We start from the raw sequence: 24,949 nt of genomic DNA, 5'->3' as shown, positions 1-24,949 counted from the left end.
CATCTAGTTCCTCTCATCTCAGAAACCACGAGTCTAGGGAAATTGTGTGCGAGTGGTGTTCTGACAGTTTAGGAGACCAGGGTGGTGCACTCTGAAATTGAACTGTTTCTCTTACCAGTGGTGGCATCACTTAGTTCTTCTCCCCCTACTTCAGGTGCATTAAAGATGGTATTCTTGTCTTAAATGTTTTCTAGATGTTCTACTATCTTGCTGAAATCATTTCCACTTTTGTGTATCTTTAAACATAATGTTTAAATTACCATGTAATTTGAAGTTCCAACTAATGTTTTTCATGGTGGGTGTGGTGGGTCTCACCTGTAATCCCAGCTACTTGGAAGGCTGAGGTGGAAGGATTGCCCGAGCCCAGGAGTGGAAGGCTGCAGTGAGCTCTGATCCAGTTACTGCATTCTAGCCTGGGTGACAGGAAACCCAGTCTGGTTTTTTTTGTTTGTTTGTTTTTTTAAGTTTTTCAAAATGTAGTTACATAACTTTATGGAAATTAGTAAGTTATTGTGTCAGAAACAATTTTTTTGTTAATTGTGGTAAATATATATAGCAAAATTTGCAGTTTTTTACCACTTTTAATCATACATTTAAGTGGAGAAATGTCCAGTGACTTTGCCCTTTTATTAATTGGGTTGTCTTTTTGTTATTGAGTTGTAAGAGTTCTTTATATATTTGGGTATTTATCTCTTATCAGGTATATGATTTACATTCTTGATAGTAAGTAGCCTTTGATGCACAAAAGTTTTCACTTTAATGAAGCCCAGTGTATTTTTTCTTTTGTTGCCTATACAGTACTTTTGTTATAATTAAGGAACCAAATCCAAGTTCATAAAAATTTTTTACTGTGTTTTCAGCCGGGCACAGTGGATCACCTGAGGTTAGGAGTTCAGGACCAGCCTGACCAACATGGTGAAACCCTGTCCCTACTAACAATATAAAAAATTAGCCACGCGTTGTGGAGGGCGCCTGTAATCCCAGCTACTCGGGAGGCTGAGGCAGGAGAATTGCTTGAACCTGGGAGGTGGAGGTTGCAATGAGCCGAGGTCACACCATTGCACTCCAGCCTGGGCAATAAGAGTGAAACTGCATCTTAAAAAAAAGAAAATTTTACTGCATTTTCTTCCATGACTTATAGTTTTTAGCTCTTTAGTTAAGATCTTTGATCCATTGTAAATTAATTGTTGCATGTGGTATAAGGTAAACATTCAGATTCATTCTTTTGTTTGTGAATATCCAGTTTTTCCAGTACCATTTTTGAAGAGACTGTTCTTTCCCCAGAGATTGGTTTTGGCACCCTTGTCAAAAATCAACTGACCATATATGCAAGGGCTTACTTCTGGGCTCTCAATCCTATTTAATTTGTCTGTATGTCTGGCCTTATGCCATGTAACTCTGTCATTACTGTAACTTTATAATAAGTTTCAGAATTGAGAAGTCTGATTTCTGTTCTTTTTCAAGATTGTTTTGGCTTTTGATATTTCCTGTGAATTTTAGGTTGCATTTATCTATATTTCTAAAAAATTCCATTGTACTTTTGATAGGAATGGGACTGAATCTGTATATTGCCTTGGGTGATATTGTTATCTTACCAGTATTAAGTCTTCTAATCTATTAGCACAGGATGTCTTTGCATTTATTTAGACCTTTAATTTTTTATTTTATTTATGTATTCATTTATTTATTTTTCCAGCACTGTTCTGTAGTTTTCTGGGTATAGGTCTTCGTCTTCCTTGGTTAAATTTATTTCTAAACATTTTATTCTTGGCCAGGCATGGTGGCTCACACCTGTAATCTCAGCAACTTTGGGAGGCCGGGGCGGGAGAATTGCTTGGGCCCAGGAATTTGAGACCAGCCTGGCAGCATAGTGAGACTCTGTCTCTATTTTTAAAAATTAAAAAGAAAAAAGAAAATGGGTTATTGGTGTCTCCAGTTCTTATTAAGGCACTCACTATTTCTCCCTTCAGTTCTGTCCATTTTTTGCTTCATAGATTGGGGGACTTTCTTGTTTGTTTTGTATATATTTATTACAGTCACATTTTCTTGCTGGATTGACCTTTTATCACTACAGTCTTTGTGGTCTCTTCTTACCTTTTTGAGTTTAAATCTATTTTATCTAATAATAAAATAGCCACTTATCTCTCTTATGGTTACTGTTACATGAAATATCTTTACATCCTTTTACATTAAAAGTAATTACTGAAAAGGAAGGAGTTAGTTTTGCAAAATAGCTGTATATTTTCTGCATGTCTTATTTGTTTTTTGTTGAATTCCTCCAATTTTGCCTCTTTGTCTTGTATTTAGTTGGCTTTTTTGTGGTGAACCTTCTGACTTCTCTTTTGTAAAAGTTTTTAGCTATTTCTTTCCTTTTTTTTTTTTTTTTTGAGATGGAGTCTCACTCTGTCGCCCAGGCTGGAATGCAGTGGCGCGATCTCGGCTCACTGCAAGCTCCGCCTCCCGGGTTCACGCCATTCTTCTGCCTCAGCCTCCTGAGTAGCTGGGACTACAGGCACCTGCCACCATGCCCAGCTAATTTTTTGTATTTTCAGTAGAGACGGGGTTTCACCGTGTTAGCCAGGATGGTCTCGATCTCCTGACCTCGTGATCCACCTGCCTTGGCTTCCCAAAGTGCTGAGATTACAGGCATGAGCCACTGCACCCGGCCATTTTTAGTATTTCATTAGGTTTTAGATCACAGCTGACATCTCAAACTTCTAACAACCTAGTTTGAATAGTAGCAAATTTGTTTCAATAGCATATGGACACATTGCTCTTCTACATCTGTATTTTCCCTCCCTTTATTTTTTATTATCACGAATCACATCTTTATAGGCTGTATTCCCATTTACTTAGATTTAGATTTACAGTTACTGTTTTATGCATTTTCCTTTTATTTATTTATTTAGTTATGTATTTATTTGAGACAGAGTCTCACTCTGTTGCCCAGGCTGGAGTGCGGTGGCGTGATCTTGGCTCACTGCAACCTCTGCCTCCCAGGTTCAAGCAATTCTCCTGCCTCAGCCTCCCGAGTAGCTGAGATTACAGGTGCCCGCCACCACGCCTGGCTAATTTTTGTATTTTTAGTAGAGACAAGGTTTCACCATGTTGGCCAGGCTGGTCTTGAACTCCTGACCTCAGGTGATCCACCCACCTTGACCTCCCAAAGTGCTGGGATTACAGGCATGAGCCACTGCACCCAGCCGCATTTTCCTTTTAAATCATGTATGAAAGAAGTGAGTTATGAGCCAAAGTACAGTAATACTGTCTTTTAAATGTACCTGTATGGTTACTTTCACCAGATTTACTTATTTCTTCTTATGGCTTTAAATTACTATGTAGTGTTCTTTCATTTCAGCCTGATGGACTCACTTTAGCATTTCTCATAAGACAGGTCTACTGATGACAAACTCCCTTTGCTCTTGTTTATTTGGAAAATGTTTTGATTTTGTCTTTATTCTTGGACAAAGACAAATCTTATATAGGATATAAGATTCTTGGTTGACGAGTTGTTGGGGTTTTTTTGTTTTTTGTTTTTTTAGAACTTGGAGATGTCATCCCACTGCCTCTTGGCCATTATGATTTCTGATGAGAAATCAGCTGTTATTCTTATTGAGGATCCTTTAACATGAGTCACTTCCTTCTTGGCTGCTTTCAAGAGACCTTTATCCTTTATCTCTTTATCAAATGTTCAACCATTTGACCCTGATGTGTCTCAGTGTGGGTTTCAGATTTCATCCTGCTTGGAGATCACTGAGTTTCTTGGATGTATAAATTCACATCTTTCATAAAATTTGCAAGTTTTTGACCATTATTTCATCAAATATTTTTTCTGCTACTTTCTGTCTTTCCGTTTGGAAATTCCATGATGTCTAATGTTAGTATTTCTGATTGTTTCTTGCAGGTTCATTAGATTGTTTTTCTTCATTCTCTTTTCTTTCTGTTCAGACTGAGTATTTTCAATTGCCTTGTCTACAGGTTTACTGAATCTTTTTTCTGCCTGCTGTAGTCGGCCATTGAATCCTCCTAGAGTGAATTTTTAATTTCAGCTGTTATAATTTTCTGTCCTGGAATTCCTACTTGGTTCCTTTTAATTATTTCTGTCTCTTTATCAGTATTCTCTACTTGTTCATACATATGATTATCTTTATTTCTTTTATCTCATTGAGCATATTTAAGACAGTTGATTTAATGTCTTTGACTAGTAACTCTAAAATCTGGGCCTCCTCAGGGTTAATTCCTAATTCTTTCTTCTTCCCTGTGAATTAGTCATATTTGCCTGATTCTTTATGTGATTTGTAGTTTTTCGTTAGGAATTGGACATTTTAAGTACTATAATGTGATAACTCTAAAAATCTGGTTCTTCCTCTCTTTCTAGATTGCTTTTGGTTCTTGTAGGGCGCAGTCCACCATTCTGACTTTTCCAAACTACTTTCACAAAGTCTGTATTCCTTGTTTTGTGTAGACCTTGAAGTTATAGTTCTGTTATCTTTATGGTCAGCCTGTGACCCTGACATAGATTCCCTTCACTGTTGAGGTTCATCCCCTCTTCCTCCATCAGACCAGGTGTTTACCCCTGGTTGCTGGGTCCCATGAGGTTCCAGAGTTCTGCACAGGTGATTATGATTGTTTTTTTCCAGCTTAATAGTTGTTTTGTTGTTGCAATTGATATCTGAAATTTCTTACTCTGCCATTTTTCTGACATCAGTAATAATGTATTTGAATTTGAAAAATCGTACTTAAATATAGCCTTTAATGTTTAATAATTACCTTTCTCCTTTATTGATATTCAGTAAGAAAAAATTGAAAATGAATTCATTAAGAAGAAAACAATTATTCGTAATTATACCCCCTAAAAGCCCTTCATTGCTGTTAACAATTTGGTCTGTATCTTTCAACACTTTTTCTTCTTCATATGTTCATATTTCCTTAACAAATATTTATAGAGTACTTTCAATGTGCCAGGTACGCTAAGTTCTTGGGTTGTGAGGTTATGTAATATGAATATCATATATATTCCCTTAAGGTTTACAATCTAATGGAAGATGAAGAAAGATAAAGAGGTGGTTACAATATGATATGTGATATATGCTCTGCTATTGTGGGAGTACCTAGAATAGGCACATAACTCACACTTGCAGGGAGTCAGAAGTTAAAAAGAGGAGGAAGAAAAAAATAATCTGTAGAGCAGAACTTCTAATAGTGTAGACTTCAGACATACCACTACTGGAAAGAACAGAGAATCAGAAAACGACCTGGAGGAAGAATATTGGAGGTCAAAGGAACAGCAGTTTGGAAAAATGATCAGGAACCAGCTAACATTCATTGGCTTTTTATTATATGTTACGTGTACTGGAAATGTTACCTCATTTATTCTTCAAAACAATGGGATAATTACTGTTGTTCCCATTTTATTTTTGTTTTTGTTTATGTTTTGAGATGGAGTCTCGTTCTGTCGCCCAAGTTGGAGTGCAGTGGTGTGATCTTGGCTCATTGCAACCTCCGCCTCCCAGGTTCAAGTGATTCTCCTGCCTTAGCATCCCGAGTAGCTGGGACTACAGGCATGCACCACGATGCCCAGCTAATTTTTGTATTTTTTTTAAGAGATGGAGTTTCGCCATGTTGGCCAGGCTGGTCTCAAACTCCTGGCCTCAGGTGATCCACCTGCTTTGACCTCCCAAAGTGCTGGGATTACAGGCGTGAGCCACCGCACGCATCCTGTTGTTCCCATTTTACAAATGAAGATACCAGCAAGGGTAAAGTCACACAGCTAATACGTGTCCTTTGAATTTAAGAACAAACTGTGTTTATTTGCTTACTGGTTGGAAAAATTGTTTAAAATGTGTTTAGCAACAAAGCACTCACTGATAACCTTGGCAGGGGCAGCTGTAGTAAAGCAATGCAGGTGAAAGCCAAATTGCCAAAAGATAAGGAATACATATCGTTTAGACAAATCTTTTTTAAAAATTGGCTATGAATTGGGGAGGAAGAAGGCAATAGAAAGTATTTAAGGAGCCAGGGGAAAAAGTGTGGTTGTAGGTAAAAGAAACGATGGTAATAAATTGAGGTGAGGTCTTCAAAAAGAAGAATTTATGGGGTGGTGGGATCTTAAAGATAGATAAAGGGAAGGCCAGGAAATAAAAATAATTTTCCAGGACTGCTGTTAAGTAGTTGAGGAAGTCTCATCTTAATGACTTAGGTTTCTAAATGATATAGGAGCAGAGTCTACTGGTAGGTGAGGGTGACAGAATTAGATATGAGTAGAGTAAAGATTGGAAACAGCTGCTGTGAAGAAGTGGCTAAAAATCCTGGTGACACATAGGATAGCTGGGTAGCATAAAGTACCAAGCTAAAAATTTTAAATTTATAATTATATCAAGCTTCTCAGCTACATGGTTTTTCTGTAGCATTAAACAATTCTAAATATAGCTGTCAAGAAGCCAAAGATTTGGATTGTTCTTGAGTTTTTCAAAGCAAGTGTACCAGAAGGAAAATTGTTAAGAGTTGATACTGTTTTCAAAAAAGTGATTAAAATGTTGAGAGGCCAAGACAAGAGGATTATTTGAGTCCAGGATTTCAGGACCAGCCTGAACAACATAGCAGGATCTTATCTCTACAAATAATTTTTTTGAATTGGCTTGGTGTTGTAACATGTGCCTGTAGTCCCAGCTACTCAGTCCCTGCAGTCCCAGCTACTCAGTCCCTGCTGAGGCAGGAGCGTTGCTTGAGCCCAGGAGGTAGGCTGCAGTGAATTTATAATTTCACAGGCGAACAATTTCTAAAGATTAACAAAGTCTAGGAATGTCTGAGGCAGTGAAATGTCTTAGGCAAAGATAAAATTTACCAGGATTAGAACAGCCAAGGAATTAGGAAATCGTGTTGAACAGATTGCCCAGAAAATTGGCAGGACTTAAAGATGGAGTCAAGGAAAAATGTCATCCAGAAACTAAATCAACGCAAGGAACATAGGGAAGCTGATAGATAACATTGACAAGGAGAGGATGGTAGAAGCAGCCAAATGGCACAAGCTTCCTAGGAGTAATTTTACATAAACCTGGAAGAATAACTGGAATTAGCTTTGGGGATGATAGAAGCTGAACTCACTCTCTGACCCTAAGTATGCATCATCTAATAGAATGAGCAGTTATAACTTTTAGGGGAATGCAAGGCAAGCATTCTTGGGGTGGGGGTATGGTTTCAGTTACGGCAAAAAGGTGAAGTGAGCATTCATTGAAGATTCTTTTTGGAGGGAAAGTATATTCTAGAGAGTTCAGTGAAAAGATACGAGATGGAGAGGAATTAGCTCCCTTGGATAAGGCAAGAAGAAGCAGAGGATCATGGGAATCTGTGTACTTCGTAGGATGGGTAAACATTAATGATTACATTTCTTGGGCAGTATTGAGGATGCAGAAGTGAGACATGGCCCCAGGGATTTCAACATATTCTAATTTCAAAAAATGCTGTTTTAATATCTATTATATATTGTTTTATAATACATATATGTATTGTTTTGTATCCTGTTTTAAATGTAACATTATATTGAACAACTTCCAAGTACTAAAATTTATTGAGTCAATTGGTTCATGTTAGATAGCACATTAGTCTCAGCATATCTGCATAAAATTAAGGTGGAATTGGCATTCTTATCACAAGACAATCATACTTTTTTCCAGTTACTTCAAGGAATAAATTCTCTATTATGTTGATGTACATTCAAGTATTTTATGTATATACTAATGTTTAAAACCTTATTGCAAGATTTTTTTGTTACAACTTTTTAAAGAAACCCTGCATAGGAATGCTTCCTCACCTTATCCCCTAAAACTGAGAGTAATCCTGACCCTATACTTCTGTGGAAAGGGATCAAACAAATCTTCAAGTTAATAGAAACTCAACAGAATTCTGACCCAAGAATTAAGGAAATGATTTCAGTGTTTATATAAACAAATAGAATCCTCAAACCTATAGAACCGATGTGTTCAGTGTTGTCACCTTTGTTTAGTATATAGTTGCTCAGATAATGTTTATTATATTTATTTTGTGTATTTTTGTTAAAAGTATAAAAGCAGACCTGGTTCTAATCCTAGCTCCATCTTTTTATCTCTGTGACCCTAAACAGGTTACTTAATGCCTCAAAAAAAATATTTAGATAGCCAGGAGTGGTAGCTTACGCCTGCAGTCCTGGCACTTTGTGAGGCCAAGGCAGGTAGATTGCTTGAGCCTGGGAGTTCAAGACCAGTCGGCAACCTGGCGAAACCCCAGCTCTATAAAAATCAGCCAGACATGGTGGCACATGCCTGTAGCCCCAGCTACTCAGGAAGCTGAGGTAGGAGGATAGTGTGAGCCCAGGACACCATGGTTGCTGGGGCTGTGATCACGCCACTGCACTCCAGCCTGAGAGGCAAGCAAGACTCTGTCTCAAAAGACAGACCAAAAAAAAAAAAAATAGGTTCTATATATAATGGTGACGATTTTTCTTATTCTTTATAGAGTCATGAGGATTATATGAAGGTAAAGTGCTTAGCCTAATGCCTAGTAGATAGTAAGCACTCATTAAATATTTGCTAATTTTTATTATATTTGTTGTTATTCATTATTCTGTTCCTTTCTTTGATCAGGATTCTAGCAGCTATCCAGTATCTAAGTAGAGTTGACAACTCTTTGCCTAAGTTAATAAATATTATTGAAACAACCAACTATCATTTAAGCCATTAAGCTAAAAAACTAATGCATGCTACAGTAGTCTCTTAAAACAATTATGTGGAATGTAGGAAAAGAAGCTTTTACAGAGTATCATCAAATAGTTTCTCCCCTGTTGATGCAGGAATGCAGTAGTCATGTCACTGCCTGAAAATACTGGGATCTTTGTAAAAACAGGCCCCATTTCCAGATTTGTCTATTTAAGTTATCCAAACAATTCTAATGTTCAGCCTGATTTGGGGTTCACTTTTACTTAGAAATTCAAATGTTCCCTTCAGACACAATGTGTTAAATGAATATACAGTGACAAGTGTGGAATAGCAAAAGTGGTTTGAGATTGTGACTCCTTAATTGGGTGGCTGGGTACCACACACATCAGCCTCATAATACATGCAACTTAGACTTGTTTCTCGGCAGAACTGCATACCAATTGTAGAACTTCTGCATAGCTTACAAATAATCAAAATCCCAAGACTGCTGTGTGTTGATTTGCTCATTATTGCTGGGTGTTAAGTTATATCAGATTATGTAAACTTACCTATAGGGTGAATCTGTGTTTTCTTTTGAGAGGGTGTCACTTTTTTGCCCAGGCTGGAGTGCAGTGGTGTGATTATGGCTCACTGCAACCACAAGCGATCCTCCCACCTCAGCCCCACAAGTAGCTGGGACTACAGGAGCCCACTACCATGCCCAGCTAATTTTTGTATTTTTTTTGTAGAGATGGGGTCTCACGAGGCTAGTCTCGAATTTCTTTTTTTTTTTTTTTTGAGAGAGAGTCTCGCTCTGTCACCCAGGTTGGAGTGCAGTGGTGCAGTCTCAGCTCACTGTAAGCTCTGCCTCCTGGGTTCACGCCATTCTCCTGCCTCAGCCTCCCGAGTAGCCGGGACTACAGGTGCCTGCCACCAACACCCAGCTAATTTTTGTATTTTTAGTAGAGACGGGGTTTCACCATGTTAGCCAGGATGGTCTCGATCTCCTGACCTCTTGATCTGCCCACCTCGGCCTCCCAAAGTGCTAGGATTACAGGCATGAGCCACCGCGCCCAGCCTCGAATTTCTGGGTTCAGGCAATCTACCCACCTTAGCCACCCAAAGTGCTGAGGTTATAGGCACGAGCCACCATATCCAGCTAGGGTGAATCTTTATATGCCTTATGAAACTGTCAGACTTTCTCATATTAAGCTATGTTTTCATTTTTTATATGTTATTTTATGCTTTAATTTTCCATTTGAATAGAATATTATTAGGATAATAACATATATTAGTCATTAAGGTTGATCATTTTATTTTATTTTATTCAGACAACAGAAATTCCCAGCTAACATATTTATTGCTTTAAGCTAAAGCATCTATCTACGTCTAGTCTCTTTAATATGTTTACATTTAGGTGCCTATGGTTCATGCTTGAAGTTTTAATGACAAAGAATGAAAACAATAGCCATGCCTTTATGAAGAAGATGGCAGAGAACATCAAGTTAACCAGAGATGCCCAGTCTCCAGATGAATCCAAGACAAATGAAGTAAGATGAGTGTTAGGCCAGTGGGTGTTAAGATGTAATAGAAAAATATATTGTCCCACTTGGTTTTTTTTTTTTTTTTTTGGCCATACGTAGTAATTTAAATTTTAGAATGTTTACAAAAGTAAATGTGTAGTCAGTTTTTATTGCACTTCATTACAAGTGAATTTTATTTCAGGAATCTTTAGTACTCTGAAAAGACATTATAACCTTAGAGCAAGAGGATAAGAATAAAATGTACAACTATGGTATATTACGAACTTACAGTAAGAGTTACAGACAAATGCTTATTCTTTTTGTGTGCTTTCTTTGGGTTGGTTCATTTGTTTGTTATTTTCCATGCATATTGGCATCCATGTTAAATTCATATAGAGGGATTTTTATTTATCAGAAGGCTGCATAAACAGTGCTGAACAGAAATATGGAATGTTCAAGGAATAAATAACAACCACAGTATCCTTCTTTTAACTCTAAATTATACATTTAGTGGAATTGGTAATTATGATTATTTTGCAATACTAAAAGTTATATATGATTCGTTTTCCTCCCTAGAAACTGTATACAGTATGTGATGTGGCTCTCTGTGTTATAAATAGTAAAAGTGCTTTGTGCAATGCAGATTCACCAAAGGACCCAGTCCTCCCAATGAAATTTTTTACACAACCTGAAAAGGTAATTTTCTTCCTCTCATTTTTCCTACCACACTAAACTGATTTCAATGTCAATTACCATCAACCATTGTGGCAAATATTGAATTGTCTTGACCACAGAGTAAAGAAAAAATCTGGGTTTATCAAAGAGTGGGAAATTGTCTTACACAGCCCTGAACATTATTCTGACTTGAACAGAAGACTACACATACTGTTGATCTTATGTTTATTCTAGGAATTTCTAGTATTAAAGTTTTCAGATTTTTAAAATTATTTTAATCTCATTTTATTGAAACATGGGTAGTATTTTTGCAGATAAGAAAAATTTTAAATCTTTGGCACAGTGTAAGGAGGGACAGGTTCTCTCCTCTAAGCCTCCATTTCTTCATCTTTATAATGCAGATGTTAATAATACATATGGACAATTGCTAATATCTAGGTTTATATGAAGAGTTTATCACATAAAACCATTCAATAAATGGTGTTATTAATTAATATACAGTGCATCTATTCTGCTTTCAGCAAACTGTTTCCCATGTAAGTAAATTTTTCAGGTAACGCAGGCTCTGTAAGTTTTTCCAGCTAATTTGGATTTTTAAAAGCTTTTGTTTATTTCCTGCTGTTAGGTGGTATTTTAAACTTGTTTCACTTTCTCCTATAAATGTATATATATGCCTCAGTAATGATCCCCTTAGAGCAGTGGTTCCCAACCTTTTTGACACCTGGGACCAGTTTCGTGGAAGACAATTTTTCCACAGAGAAATTGAGGTGGAGAGATGGTTTCAGGATGAAACTATTTCACCTCAGGTCATCAGGCATTAGTTAGATTCTCATAAGGAGCACACAGCCTAGATCCCTCGCAGGCATAGTTCGCCATAGGGTTTGTGCTTCTGTGAGAATCTCATGCTGCCGCTGATCCGACAGGAGGCAGAGCTCAGGTGGTAATGCTTGCTCGCCAGCCACTCACTGCCTGCTGTGTATCCCAGTTCCTAACAGGCCGCAGACCCATGACCCATAACCCATACCAGTCTGCAGTTCGTGGGTTGGAGACCCCTAGCTTAGAGAATTCTCCAAATGCACATTCCAAGAAATAAATGGAGCTTCCTACTTTGAATGCCGTACTTTACTAAAAGTTTGCTAAAATGTAATCTGATTTTTATTACTGATTTAGTATTGAACACATAACTGTGCCTTGCTTTTGATAGAAATAATGAGAATTTGCAAAAGTATGCTCTCTAATTGAATCCACTGATCTGTATAAAAAAAATTTTTTTTTTTTGAGTCTCCGTCACCCACGCTGGAGTGCAGTGGCTTGATCTTGGCTCACTGCAGCCTCCAACTCCCTGGCTCAATCAGTTCTCCTACCTCAGCCTCTCAAGTAGCTGTGACTACAGGCATGTGTCACCATGCCTGGCTAATTTTTTAACTTTTTTGTAGACAGGTGGTTTCATCATGTTGGCCAGGCCTCAAACTCCTGGGCTCAAGTGATCAACCCACCTCCAGCATCCCAAAGTGCTGGGATTGCATGAGCCACCATGCCCAGCCTATAAGATATTCTTAAGTGAGCTGTTGAATTAAAATTAATCCTGTTGCTGACCCAGGACCATCATGAATAGAATAGTACCAAATAGAATCTATGTAACAGTGGTGATACCATCATCAAGAATTAAATTCCTACTTGTCACTACACCTTATCTGGACTCATAGATAACAATTTTTTTTTTCTTTTGTTACCTTCAGTGTTACAGAGTTTTAGTCTTCTTAATAATAACAACTTAGGTTTTTCTGTTTTCAGTATGCAACGTTCCTTATTTATGTAACATGTTGCTTTTAATGTGTTATAAATTCATAAACCCTAGAACACTAGGTTTGTGAAGTTAGTCAACCTAGTGAAGCTATACTATATCTTTATGAATGAAGTGAATGAACTTTGGTACACAGGTTTCTTAATGTTTATTTTAGCTGCATAGAAGACTTTGTGCAAAAGAAATGATACAGCTTTGCCTAGCACACATGACAAAACTGTGATTTCCTCACAGGCACACTTTGTTCTTTCCTACTTCTGTGAAGGTAAATTTAATACAATAAAAAATATTTTTTAATAGGATTATTTAAAACTTAATTATATTTCCTGAGTTTAGTAGCTAGTTTTGCTTCACTGACACAACATTGTGGTTTGTTTGCCATTTTCAGATATTAAGCAGGAAAAGGCATCAAGAGATCAAGTTTGAACTCCTAATTTTTATATAGATATAACTCTCAAAGTGCTATCATTTTCCACATTTGGTTTAAATCGTGTATTGTTAATATCACAGCTGTCAAAGAACATAATTCACTTAATTGTATTTTGACAGTTGGTCTACTTATGTTTTTTGAGATGGAGTTTCACTCTTGTCACCCAGGCTGGAGTGCAATGGCACGATCTCGGCTTACCGCAGCCTCTGCCTCCCGAGTTCAAGCGATTCTCCTGCCATAACCTCCTGAGTAGCTGGCATTACAGGCGCATGCCACCCGGCCTAGCTAATTTTGTATTTTTGTAGAGACAGGGTTTCACCATGTTGGCCAGGCGGGTTCGAACTTCTGACCTCAGGTGATCCACCCACTTTGGCCTCCCAAAGTGCTGGGATGAGGCTCACAGGCATGAGTCACCACACCCGGCCCGAATTTATGATGTGGTGGAATTCAGTGAATAAATTTAATGAATAAACTGCATTGAACCGTATGAAAACATGTGTGTGCTTTATTTATGGTGTGATTTAGGAAATTTATCTTTGACATTTGCCTAAGTCTGCGTGCCATCAGTTTAATTTAAAGCTAGACTTATGGTATGGCTTTGATTGTTTTGATTGTTTGATAAATTGGTATATGTGTTAGCACAAGTGTATTTATTATTGCAAGGCACAATACCTAAAAAGCCTTATTGAGATAATTAAAATACTCATGTTCCTTTGATTGGTGTTTCTTTTTTCTTTTTCTTTTTTTTTTTTAATAGGACTTCTGTAACGATAAGAGTTATATTTCAGAAGAGACAAGAGTACTTCTGTTAACAGGAAAGGTATTATTTACTTAATAATTTTGAGATCTTTGTTTCATGTGTATCTTGCTTCTGCTATTCCTAGAAATACCTTTAAATGACCACTAGATTGTATAGTTCCTGATTCTTAGGGATCACATTATGGATTTAAAGCATCTAAAGCAGCCATGCTTTTAGAATTTTTCTGCCAGCAACCACTCCTCTGAAATGCCACTGTGTGTTCTCATCAGTAATGTTAAGCACAGTTTATTTACAATTCACAAAGAAGACTTTCCTGGGAAATGGTATAACCAACTTAGGTATATAAGATAAAAGAAATAATTTTATACTACTAATGAATTAGACAATTCATGTTCTATGTAAGTAATATGGTGACACCTAAAACAGCAAAAGGAAATTTAGTTTTTTGTAAATAGTTCCTAAACTATTACTATATATATATCCAATAGTTTATTTATAGGAGCATTTATTATGTATGTATTTTGCTATATTTTAGGGGAACTTTGTATTTTGATTGAATAATAAAGGATACATTAATATTACCTAGTTATTATTAAGTAGAGATATGCTTATGACTTTTGATTGTATTAAGGCAACCAAACACAATTTTACAGAATGATCTTTTTTTTTCTTGAGACAGTCTCATTTTGTCACCCAGGCTGGAGTACAATGTTGCGATCTCAGCTCACTGCAACCTTCACCTCCTGGGTTCAGGCAATTCTCATGCCTCAGTCTATCGAGTAGATGGGACTACCGGCTTATACCACCACACCTGGCTAATTTTTGTATTTTTGGTAGAGGTTGGGTTTCACTCTTTTGGCCAGAGTGGTCTTGAACTCATGGCCTCAAGTGATCCACCTCCCAAAGTGCTGGGATTTGCAGTCAGGAGCCAGTATGCCTGGCCCAGAATGAACATTTCTGGTAAATTTAACTAATTAGCACTTAACAATATCTCTTACTTGTGTCTAAATTTACATGTATACATGGTAAGGTATAAACGTGTGTGTTTTTGGGGGGTTTTTTGTTTTTGTTTTTAGCCAAAGCCTGCTGGAGTACTAGGTGCAGTAAATAAGCCTTTATCAGCAACGGGAAGGAAACCCTATGTTAGAAGCACTGGCACTGAGACTGGAAGCAATATTAATGTAAATTCAGAGCTGAACCCTTCAACCGGAAATCGATCAAGGCAACTTTTCTCTCCAATTATTTTGTTACTAGCACTCACTACTTGGTTTATCTTTTATTCCTAAAGTGCTGTCTCATAAAATGGTCTTCTGTCATTAGCGGTGTTCTGGTACAAAATAATATTGATGAATTTTAGTATTTTCTTTTCTGGGTTTTTTTTTGTTTTTTTTTTTTTTTTGAGACAAAGTCTCGCTCTTGTCCCCGCCCAGGCTAGAGTGCAATGGCGCAATCTTGGTTCACTGCAACCTCTGCCTCCCGGGTTCAAGCAATTCTCCTGCCTCAGCCTCCCGAGTAGCTGGAATTACAGGCGCCTGCCACCACGCCCCGCTAATTTTTGTATTTTTAGTAGAGACGGTGTTTCACCATGTTGGCCAGGCTGGTCTCGAACTCCTGACCTGAGGTGATCCGCCTGCCTCAGCCTCCCAAAGTGTTGGGATTACAGGCGTAAGCCACCGCACCCAGCCAGTATTTTCTTTTTTTTCTTAATTTTATGTAATTTTTTTTTAAGAGACAGGGTCTCACTTTGTTGCTTAGGCTGGAGGGCAGTGGCAGGATCATAGCTCACCGCAGCCTCAGACTCCTGGGCTCTAGGGATCTTCTCGCTTCAGCATCCCAAGTAGCTGGGACTACAGGCATGCACCACCAACCCCCAGCCAATTTTCTTTTGTACTTTTCATAAAGATGGAGTTTCGTCATCTTCCCCAGGTCGGGCTCGATCTCCTGGGCTCAAGTGATCCACCCCCTTCAGCCTCCCAAAGTGCTGGGATTACAGGCGCAAACCACTGCACCTGGGCACATTTTAGTATTTTCAATGAGGAAATCAAGAATGTACTGCACACTTTGAAACTATTAATATATAGCATTCTAAGTGTATAGAAAAATTAACAGAAAATAATATAAGAGTTAATAATACAACCAATTTATATCAAAATACTTATTTTTAATATTTTTGAGACAGAGTGTCTCTGTCCGTCACTCAGGCTGGAGTGCAGTGATGGGATGTCAGCTCACGGCAACCTCCACCTCCTGGTTTCAAGTGATTCTCACACCTCAGCTTCCTGAGCTTACAGGCACACGCCACCACTCCCAGCTAATTTCTGTATTTTTAGTAGAGACAGGGTGTCACCATGATTGCCAGGCTAGTCTCTGCCCACCTTGGACTCCCAAAGTGCTGGGATTACAGTCATGAACCATCACGCCTGGCCCAAAATGTTTATTTTTTATACGTAAGAAAATTCAACCCTTAGGAAAACTATGAAAACATTAACTTTTAAATAAATTGAAATGCTTTTTAATTTTTAACTCAAATTAGTATAGGAGGGCTGGGTGTAGTGCCTTATGGCTGTGATCCCAGCGCTTTAGTAGGCCAAGGCAGGATTATCACTTGAGCCCAGAAGTTCAAGTCTAAAGTGAGCTATGATGTCTCTGCTACACTCCAGCCTGGGTGACAAAGCAAGACCCTGTCTCTTAATAAAAAGAAAAGGCCATGTGTGATGGCTCACACCTGTAATCCCAGCACTTTGGGAGGCCGAGGAAGGATAATCACTGGAGCCCAGGAGTTCGAAACCAATCTGGGCATCATGGGGGCATACACTTGTAGTCCCAGCTACTTGGGAGCTCAGGAGGCGGAGGCAGGAAGATCACTTGAGCCCAGGAGTTCTAGGCTATATCAGCTATGATTACATATTTCATTTCAGCCTAAGACCCTGTCTCTTAAAATATATATATATATATATATATATATATAAAAATAGGATAAGTTTACATTGTTCTAACATTTTCTAATTATAAAAATATTCCATGTTTATTTTAACATGTTAAGTATTCAGTATATTAGCTACTGCATAAGAATTTCTACCTGCAATTTTTTTCATAAACATACTTATTTTGATATATAATAATTGTACATATTTATGGGGTGTTTGTGATATTTTGGTATATGCATAGCATGTATAGTGATCAAATCAGGGTAATTAGGATATCCGTCACATCAAACCTTTATCATTTCTGACCCTACTCTTAGGAACACTTAATATTGTGGTTTTTATAGATATTATTCTTACACATGAAATCTTAAGAATAAACTCAACCAATGATGTTTTAAACCACTTTTAGCAAAAATGAAGCCCAAGATATGAAATCAGTTAACATGGTTTAAAGAATAGTGGGGCCTCAAATACCTACCAAATAGCCTCTTCTGACAGCCCCCTTTTTAGTAGAACACTATGGAAATGACAACTATACTATGGTCTGTAGTTTTATTTTTGTTTTAGGATTTTCTATTCCCAAAAGATAAAGCTTACAGTGGTTGTGTTATTTTGTCTCTTGACAATTAACCCTTTTGTCAAGTAGTCTTAGGCAGTCATTTCTGTCTTAATGTTATTAAGGCAAAATGGAAATTGATACCACTTTATCAAAGCTAAATGGAAAATGATATTTTTAAAGCAATAGTCTATAACTACAGAGTATCCGAATCTTGCTATTGTTGCTTCAATTGTCAAGGTTTCGAAACCAGCCTAAGCCTTTCTTTATTGGTACGGTGAGAGAGTGAACTTTCTCTTCATGGAAATATGAAGTCTTGGTTTATTTGTTTTAAACAGGGAACAGAGTTCAGAGGCAGCAGAAACTGGAGTTAGTGAAAATGAAGAGAACCCTGTGAGGATTATTTCAGTCACACCTGTAAAGAATATTGACCCAGTAAAGAATAAGGTAAATTTTAAAATTTAACAAGTGGATTTTTTCCATGGAGATTATTACAGTTTTTCCGTAGGGATAAGAAATCTACAGCCAACACTTCAATGCACATGCTACATTTTAAACTTGTGTGTATTACCACACACCTTCTCCCCGCTTCCCGCACCCCGGCTATACTTCCCAAAAATGATTCTGCTTACCTCCACCCACTTTATAAGAATTTATGTGGTCTGGCTGGGCACAGTGGCTTACACCTGTAATCATCTCTACTAAAAATAAAAAAATTACCGGGGCGTGGTGGTTGGCACCAAAATCCCAGCTACTCAGGAGGCTGAGGCAGGAGAATTGCTTGAACCCAGGAGGTGGAGGTTGCAGTGAGCTGAGATAACGCCATTGTACTCAAGCCTGGGTGACAGAGGCAGACTCTGCCTCCAAAAAAAAAAAAAAAATTTGTGTGGTCACCTACCCGTAGTGGTATCCTTTTCCTATACTACCCATTTCAACTCTTTTAAAGAATAGGAATTGAGGCCTGGTGCGTTGGCTCATGCCTGTAATCCCAGCACTTTGGGAGGCTGAAGCGGGTGGATCATGAGGTGAGTAGTTTGAGACCAGCCTGGCCAACATGGCGAAACCCCGTCTCTATAAAAGTACAAAAATTAACTGGACGTGGTGGCAGGCGCCTGTAATCTCAGCTACTCAGGAGGCTGAGGCAGGAGAATTGCTTGAACCCAGGAGGCGGAGGTTGCAGTGAGCTAAGATCGTGCCATTGCACTCCAGCCTGAACGACAGAGCGAGACTCTGTCTCAAAAAAGGAATTGAGAGTTTTTGAAATATTTCAAAAGTTTGTTGATTCCCACCAGAGATCAGCCCTTTGCTTTGTTTCTACTGTGTTTTTAAAAGTTCATCTTGGCTGGGTGCAGTAACTTACACCTGTAATCGTGCACTTTGGGAGGCAAAGATGGGTGGATCACTTGTGGTCAGGAGTTGGAGACCAGCCTGGCCAACATGGTGAAACCCCGTCTCTACTAAAAATACAAAATATTAGCCAGGCATGGTGGCGCACACCTGTAATCCCAGCTACTCAAGAGGTCGAGACAGGAGAATCACTTGAACCCTCGAGGTGAAGGTTGCAGTGAGCCAACATCATGCCATTGCATTCCAGCCTGGGCGACAAGAGTGAGACTTGGTGGATCACCTGAAGTGAAACCCTGTCTCTGCTAACAAAGTGCAAAAATTACTTGCCTGGAGTCCCAGCTATGCGGGAGGCGACCCGGCGCAGTGGCTCACACCTGTAATTCCAACACGTTGGGAGGCCGAGGCAGGCAAATCGCCTGAGGTCAGGAGTTCCAGACCAGCCTGGCCAACGTGGTGAAAACTCGTCTCTACTAAAAATACAAAAATTAGCTGGGCGTGGTGGTGTGCACCTGTAATCCCAGCTGCTTGGGAGGCTGAGGCAGGAGAACTGCTTGAACCGCGGAGGTGGAGGTTGCAGTGAGCCAAGATCACGCCACTGTGCTACAGGCTGGTCTTGAACACCTGACCTCAGGTGATCCACCCTCCTCAGCCTCCCAAAGTGCTGAGATTACAGGCGTGAGCCGTGCTTGACGACTTTGTTGATCTTTAAACGATACCGCCCAATTTTGTTTTGTTTTGTTTTGAAACAGGATCTCACCATGCCCAACCCAATTTCTTAATTTTTTGGCAGGAGAGGAGTGGTGCATAATCGATAGGAGCATCACACATATCTGACTTTTGCCTCTTGGCTCTGCCACTCACTGGCTAAGTGTTGACTTGAGCAGGTCGCTTGACTTCTCTGGTCTTCTTTCAGTTGTTTTTTTTTTGTTCTGTTTTGTTTTGTTTTCTTTTGTTTTTTGAGACGGAGTCTCTGTCGCCTGGGCTGGAGTGCAGTGGCACAATCTCAGCTCACTGCAACCTCTGCCTCCTGGGTTCAAGCGATTCTCCTGCCTCAGCCTCCTGAGTAGCTGGGATTACAGGCACGCACCACCATGCCCAGCTAATTTTTGTATTTTTAGTAGAGACGGGGTTTCACCATGTTGGCCAGGCTGGTCTTGAACTCCTGACCTCGTGATTCGCCCACCTTGGCCTCCCAAAGTGCTGGAATTACGGCTCAACTATTAAATGAAATTGGTAATTTATCTCAGTAAGAATGGCTTGAAGATATTATTTCCTCCCCTGCCCCCCCCCCCCAGAATCATATTCTTGAAGTGCTTATCTTTTTATTGCTCACCATATACTTATTGTAGTCATCAAATATTTTAGATATTACCCTTGGGTACATTAAATATACTAGGATTATGCAGTTACACCACAGTAGCTTAACTTTTCCTATCCAAACTCTCATTTTCTGAACTCAGCTACATGAGGATACTTTTTGAGATGGAGTCTTTCTCTGTTGCCCAGGCTAAAGTGCAGTGGCGCGATCTCGGCTTACTGCAACCTCCGCCTCCTGGGTTCAAACCATTCTCCTGCCTCAGCCTCCTGAGTAGCTGGATTATAGGCACCTGCCACCATGCCTAGCTGATTTTTGTATTTTTAGTAGAGATGTGGTTTCACCATCTTGACCAGGCTGGTCTTGAACTCCTGACCTCGTGATCCACCCGCCTTGGCCTCCCAAAGTGCTGGGATTACAGCCGTGAGCCACCATGCCCGCCCGACGTTACATTTTTAGATCAATCTCTTGCTATCTAAACTCTTTCTGCTTGGTGTTTGAAACACAGCATGTCAGTGGATTCAGGTAACAAGTTACCTCTTATTATCAAAACTCTTAGAATCCAGATACCAATAGATTAGAATATTGTGGGATCCTTGTGTAAAATTAAGCAGTCTTGACTTAAACAAACTTACATAGAAAAATGCATATTGCCATAGACATTGAGTTACATTGAGAGTTAGATTTTATTTTTCAAGTACTATTTGTGCTTTATATTTTTATTATTGCAATTTTTTTCCCCCCAAGACAGAGTTTTGCTCTTGTTGCCCAGGCTGGAGTACAATGGTGCAATTTCGGCTATTCTCCTGCCTCAGCCTCCTGAGTAGCTGGGATTACAGGCATGGGCCACCATGCCTGGCTAATTTTGTATTTTTAGTAGAGACAGGGTTTCTCCATGTTGGTCAGGCTGGTCTTGAACTCCCAACCTCAGGTGATCCACCCGTCTCGGCCTCCCAAAGTAGTGAGATTACAGGCGTGAGGCACCGTGCCGGGCTTGCAATTACTATTTTGAGATAAGATCTCCCTCTGTCACCCAGGCTGGAGTCCAGTGGCATAATCTCTGCTTACTGTAGCCTCAACCTCCCAGGCTTAAGCAATCCTCCCACCTCAGCCTCCCAAGTAGCTGGGACTACAGGCACAAGCCACCATGCCCGGCTAATTTTTTAAATTATTTGTAGAGATGGGATCTCACTATGTTGCCGGGGATTGTTTGGAACTCCTGGGCTCAAGCGATCCTCCCGCTTTAGCCTCCTAAAGTGCTGCGATTACAGGCGTGAGCCACTGTTCCCAGCCTTTGCTTTTTAATGAGCATTTATTGAGCACATTATATATGCTATACACCATGGTAGGTACCAGGCACAGTCACTCTCCTCAAGGAGCTTACTTTCCTAATGTGATGTAAGCAGTTAACTGGAAGCCCTCAAATCCAGACTCCTTTAAAATACTTTCAAAACACTCTTTTCTAATAGAGATCATTAATATTTAAGGAATTTGTGTTTATAGAATTGTTTTGTGCTTTTTTAGGAAATTAATTCTGATCAGGCTACCCAGGGCAACATCAGCAGTGACCGAGGAAAGAAAAGAACAGTAACAGCAGCTGGTGCAGAGAATATCCAACAAAAAACAGATGAGAAAGTAGATGAATCGGGACCTCCCGCCCCTTCCAAACCCAGGAGAGGACGTCGACCCAAGTCTGAATCTCAGGGCAATGCTACCAAAAATGATGATCTAAATAAACCTATTAACAAGGGAAGGAAGAGAGCTGCAGTGGGTCAGGAGAGCCCTGGGGGTTTGGAAGCAGGTAATGCCAAAGCACCCAAACTGCAAGATTTAGCCAAAAAGGCAGCACCAGCAGAAAGACAAATTGACTTACAAAGGTAATGTACGCCATTCTTCCTCAAGTGGGAATTTAGACATTTTGTTTTATTCGTAGTATATTCTTAGTGCCAGTCACCCCAAACACCTAAGCATTTGAGAGAGAAACCTGCATCTGGTTTTCCTGGGTCCGTTTATAATAGCATCTGTTATTATCTCATAACTTCCAGTTTTAAGGCACAAATTTGAAGAAAAATCTTTTTTCTTTGTGTAATTTTTATTTAGGATATGGTATTTTGATATTTCTATTTTTATTAACAAGACAAATATTTCTTTTGCTTAGTGCCTTTCAAGTGGTTGCAGAGGTTTACATAAAATAAGGGCTACCTTTTGGATACAAGGTCCCAGAAATGGAGAAAACAGTCACGAAATGTCAATAGGTAATAGGTCCCACTCTTTAATTCTTCGTGTTATAGTTAATTCTAACACAGGTCAACAACTTACATCTTCCCCACCCTGCCCAGAAAAACAACTTACCAAACTGTTCATCTTTGATCATTCTTGTGCTGAGATTTCAGACTTTTCCTGTTGGAAATCTAGAAGGTGGCTCCTTTCACCTTGGCCTTAGAACTTAACTCATCCTCCTTTTTTCCTTACATACCTAACTCATTTACCCCTGAATTAGACTGTAGGCATTTGAGTTTCTTCTAGGGAAGAGTCCCAGATTTGATCAGCTCAGGATACCCCCACTATCCTGCTTCAGTATTTTTATAAAACTCAATGTCAGGCCATGCTCAGTGGCTCATGCCTGTAATCCCAACACTTTGGGAGGCCTAGGTGGGTGGATCACCTGAGGTCAGGAGTTCAAGACCAGCCTGACCAACATGGTGAAACCCCATCTCTACTAAAAAAAAAAAAAAAAAAAAAAGGAAATGCAAAAAGTTAGCCAGGTGTGGTGGTGCATGCCTGTAATCCCAGCTACTCAGGAGGCTGAGGCAGGAGAATGACTTGAACCCAGGAGGCAGAGGTTGCAGTGAGCCAAGATTGCGACACTGCACTCCAGCCTGGGTGACAGAAGGAGACTGTGTCTCAAAAAAAAAAAAAAAAGTTACTGAAGCATGTGTGTAAAAACATTTAAAATATTATCATTTATGAGCTGGGCCCAGTGACTCTCGCCTGTAATCCCAACACTTTGGGAGGCCACGGCGGGTAGATCACGTGAGGTCAGGAGTTTGAGACCAACGTGGCCAACATGGTGAAACCCCATCTCTACTAAAAATACAAAAAAAAAAAAAAAAAAAATAGAAAAAAATCCCGGGTGTGGTCGTGGGCATGGGCACCTGTAATCCCAGCTACTCAGGAGGCTGAGACAGAAGAATCACTTGAGCCCAGGAGGCAGAGGTTGCAGTGAGCAGAGATTGCGCCATTGCACTCCAGCCTGGGCGACAAAGCGAGACTCCATCTCAAAAAAAACAAAAAAATTAGCATTTACGGAATTCTGAAATTTTGGGCTATTAAATTTCTACATCATCTAAGTGCCCTCTTGGCAATCTTTCACATCCTCTCATGGCATCTGATCCAGAAGGCTCAAACCTGATCTGAGTACTAGTGTGTTCCTCCTACTCACTTCTGTTTCTATTAACTAATAAGTGTAGTAATGAAAGCCAGTATTAGGGACAAATTTTACATGACTTTCTTCTCAAACCTGGACCTTTATTGAACCTCTGCCTCCCTTTTTCATTAGTATGAAAGTATGTATCTTAAAGGGTTGCTCTACGAATTAAATGGATCAGTAAATATAAAGAAAGCGCCTAGCAAAGTGCCTAGTACAAAATAAACGCCCAACTGTTATTGTTACTATTGTTTTAAATTCTAGTTTCCTTACCCCTTAACATACATTTTCAGTTATACAAAAGTTGAACGTTTCCCTGGAGATTGCCAAAATTCTCTGAACGGTTTCAAGAGATCTGTCCTATTCTTCACCTACACACAAAAAAGTACTAATCATCACACACAGGCTACCTAAGCCACCTGACCTTACCTCCCATTAGCTGTCCCTGTACCATCTAACTAAAATGTACAGATACATACTTGTGGCCAGGCACGGTGGCTCACGCCTGTAATCACAGCACTTTGGGAGGCCAAGGCAGGCGGATCACCTGAGGTCAGGAGTTTCAGACTAGTCTGGCCAACATGGAGAAACCCCATTTCTACTAAAAATGCAAAAATTAGCTGGGCTTGGTGGTGCACACCTGTAGTGCCAGCTACTCGCGAGACTGAGGCAGGAGAATTGCTTGAACCCGGGAGGCGGGGGTTGCAGTGAGCCGAGATCCGGCCACTACACTCCAGCCTGGGAAACAGAGCGATACTCTGTCTCAAAAAAACAGAAAGACAAAAAAACGGATACATGCTGGAACCCTGAAAACTTTTTCAGTAGCATTTAGACCTTCTCTCATATACAGCATTGTAAAATCCATTGCTTTGCTTTTAGCTGCACTATGTGCCCCAATATCATCAAATGGCATTTGGCCTTCTCTTTACAGACTGAAAAGGCACATTACAGATCTTAAATATGCTAGTAGTAGATCAATGGGCAGTGTGTTATTCAGAATACAGTATTCTGTGATGGTTTTCTAATCTCAGTGACAGTAGGTGGTTAAATTAAATGTTTATGGCCAGGTGCGGTGGCTCACACCTATAATCCCAGCACTTTGGGAGGCCAAGCCAAGGTGGGCAGATCTTTTAAGGTCAGGAGTTCAAGATCAGCCTGACCAATATGGTGAAAGCCTGTCTCCACTGAAAATACAAAAAATTAGCTGGGTGTGGTGGCGCACCCCTGTAATCTCAGCTACCCGGGAGGTAGAGTTTGCAGTGAGCAGAGATTGTGCCACTGCACTCCAGTCTGGACGACAGAGTGAGACTCCATCTCAAAAATAAAAATATAAATTAAATACAAAATTAGTCGGGCATGATGTTGTGTGCCTGTACTCAGGGAGCTGAGGTGGGAGGATTGCTTGAGCCTGGGGCTGAGGTTAGCGGGAATAGGCTTTAGTGTTTAATGGGGATGGAGTTTCAATCGGGGAACGTGAGAAAGTTCTAGAGATGGATGGTGGTAATGGTTGTACACA

At 39.6% G+C, this 24,949-nt stretch overlaps 1 protein-coding gene across 6 annotated transcripts in view; it reads left to right on the top strand.

Moving 5' to 3' along the window:
* PDS5A (PDS5 cohesin associated factor A) overlaps positions 1-24,949 on the top strand; it is a 155,049-nt gene that overhangs the window by 118,173 nt on the left and 11,927 nt on the right. For 3 of the 6 annotated variants that reach the window (NM_001100399.2, XM_011513672.3, XM_047449932.1), the window contains 6 exons: positions 10,087-10,219; positions 10,769-10,888; positions 13,859-13,921; positions 14,938-15,083; positions 17,683-17,791; positions 21,531-21,883. In NM_001100399.2, the coding sequence (NP_001093869.1) occupies positions 10,087-10,219; positions 10,769-10,888; positions 13,859-13,921; positions 14,938-15,083; positions 17,683-17,791; positions 21,531-21,883 (924 nt within the window). Of the gene's footprint in view, positions 1-10,086; positions 10,220-10,768; positions 10,889-13,858; positions 13,922-14,937; positions 15,084-17,682; positions 17,792-21,530; positions 21,888-22,164; positions 22,262-24,949 lie in introns of those variants that run through there. The other 3 variants (XR_001741185.2, XR_001741188.2, XM_047449931.1) reach the window with 2 other exon arrangements.

The sequence above is a fragment of the Homo sapiens genome, chromosome 4 (genome assembly GCF_000001405.40).
Source record: "Homo sapiens chromosome 4, GRCh38.p14 Primary Assembly".
Taxonomy (NCBI): domain Eukaryota; kingdom Metazoa; phylum Chordata; class Mammalia; order Primates; family Hominidae; genus Homo; species Homo sapiens.
Note: the sequence above shows the minus strand (reverse complement) of the source record. Positions and strands in the feature narration are given on the sequence as shown.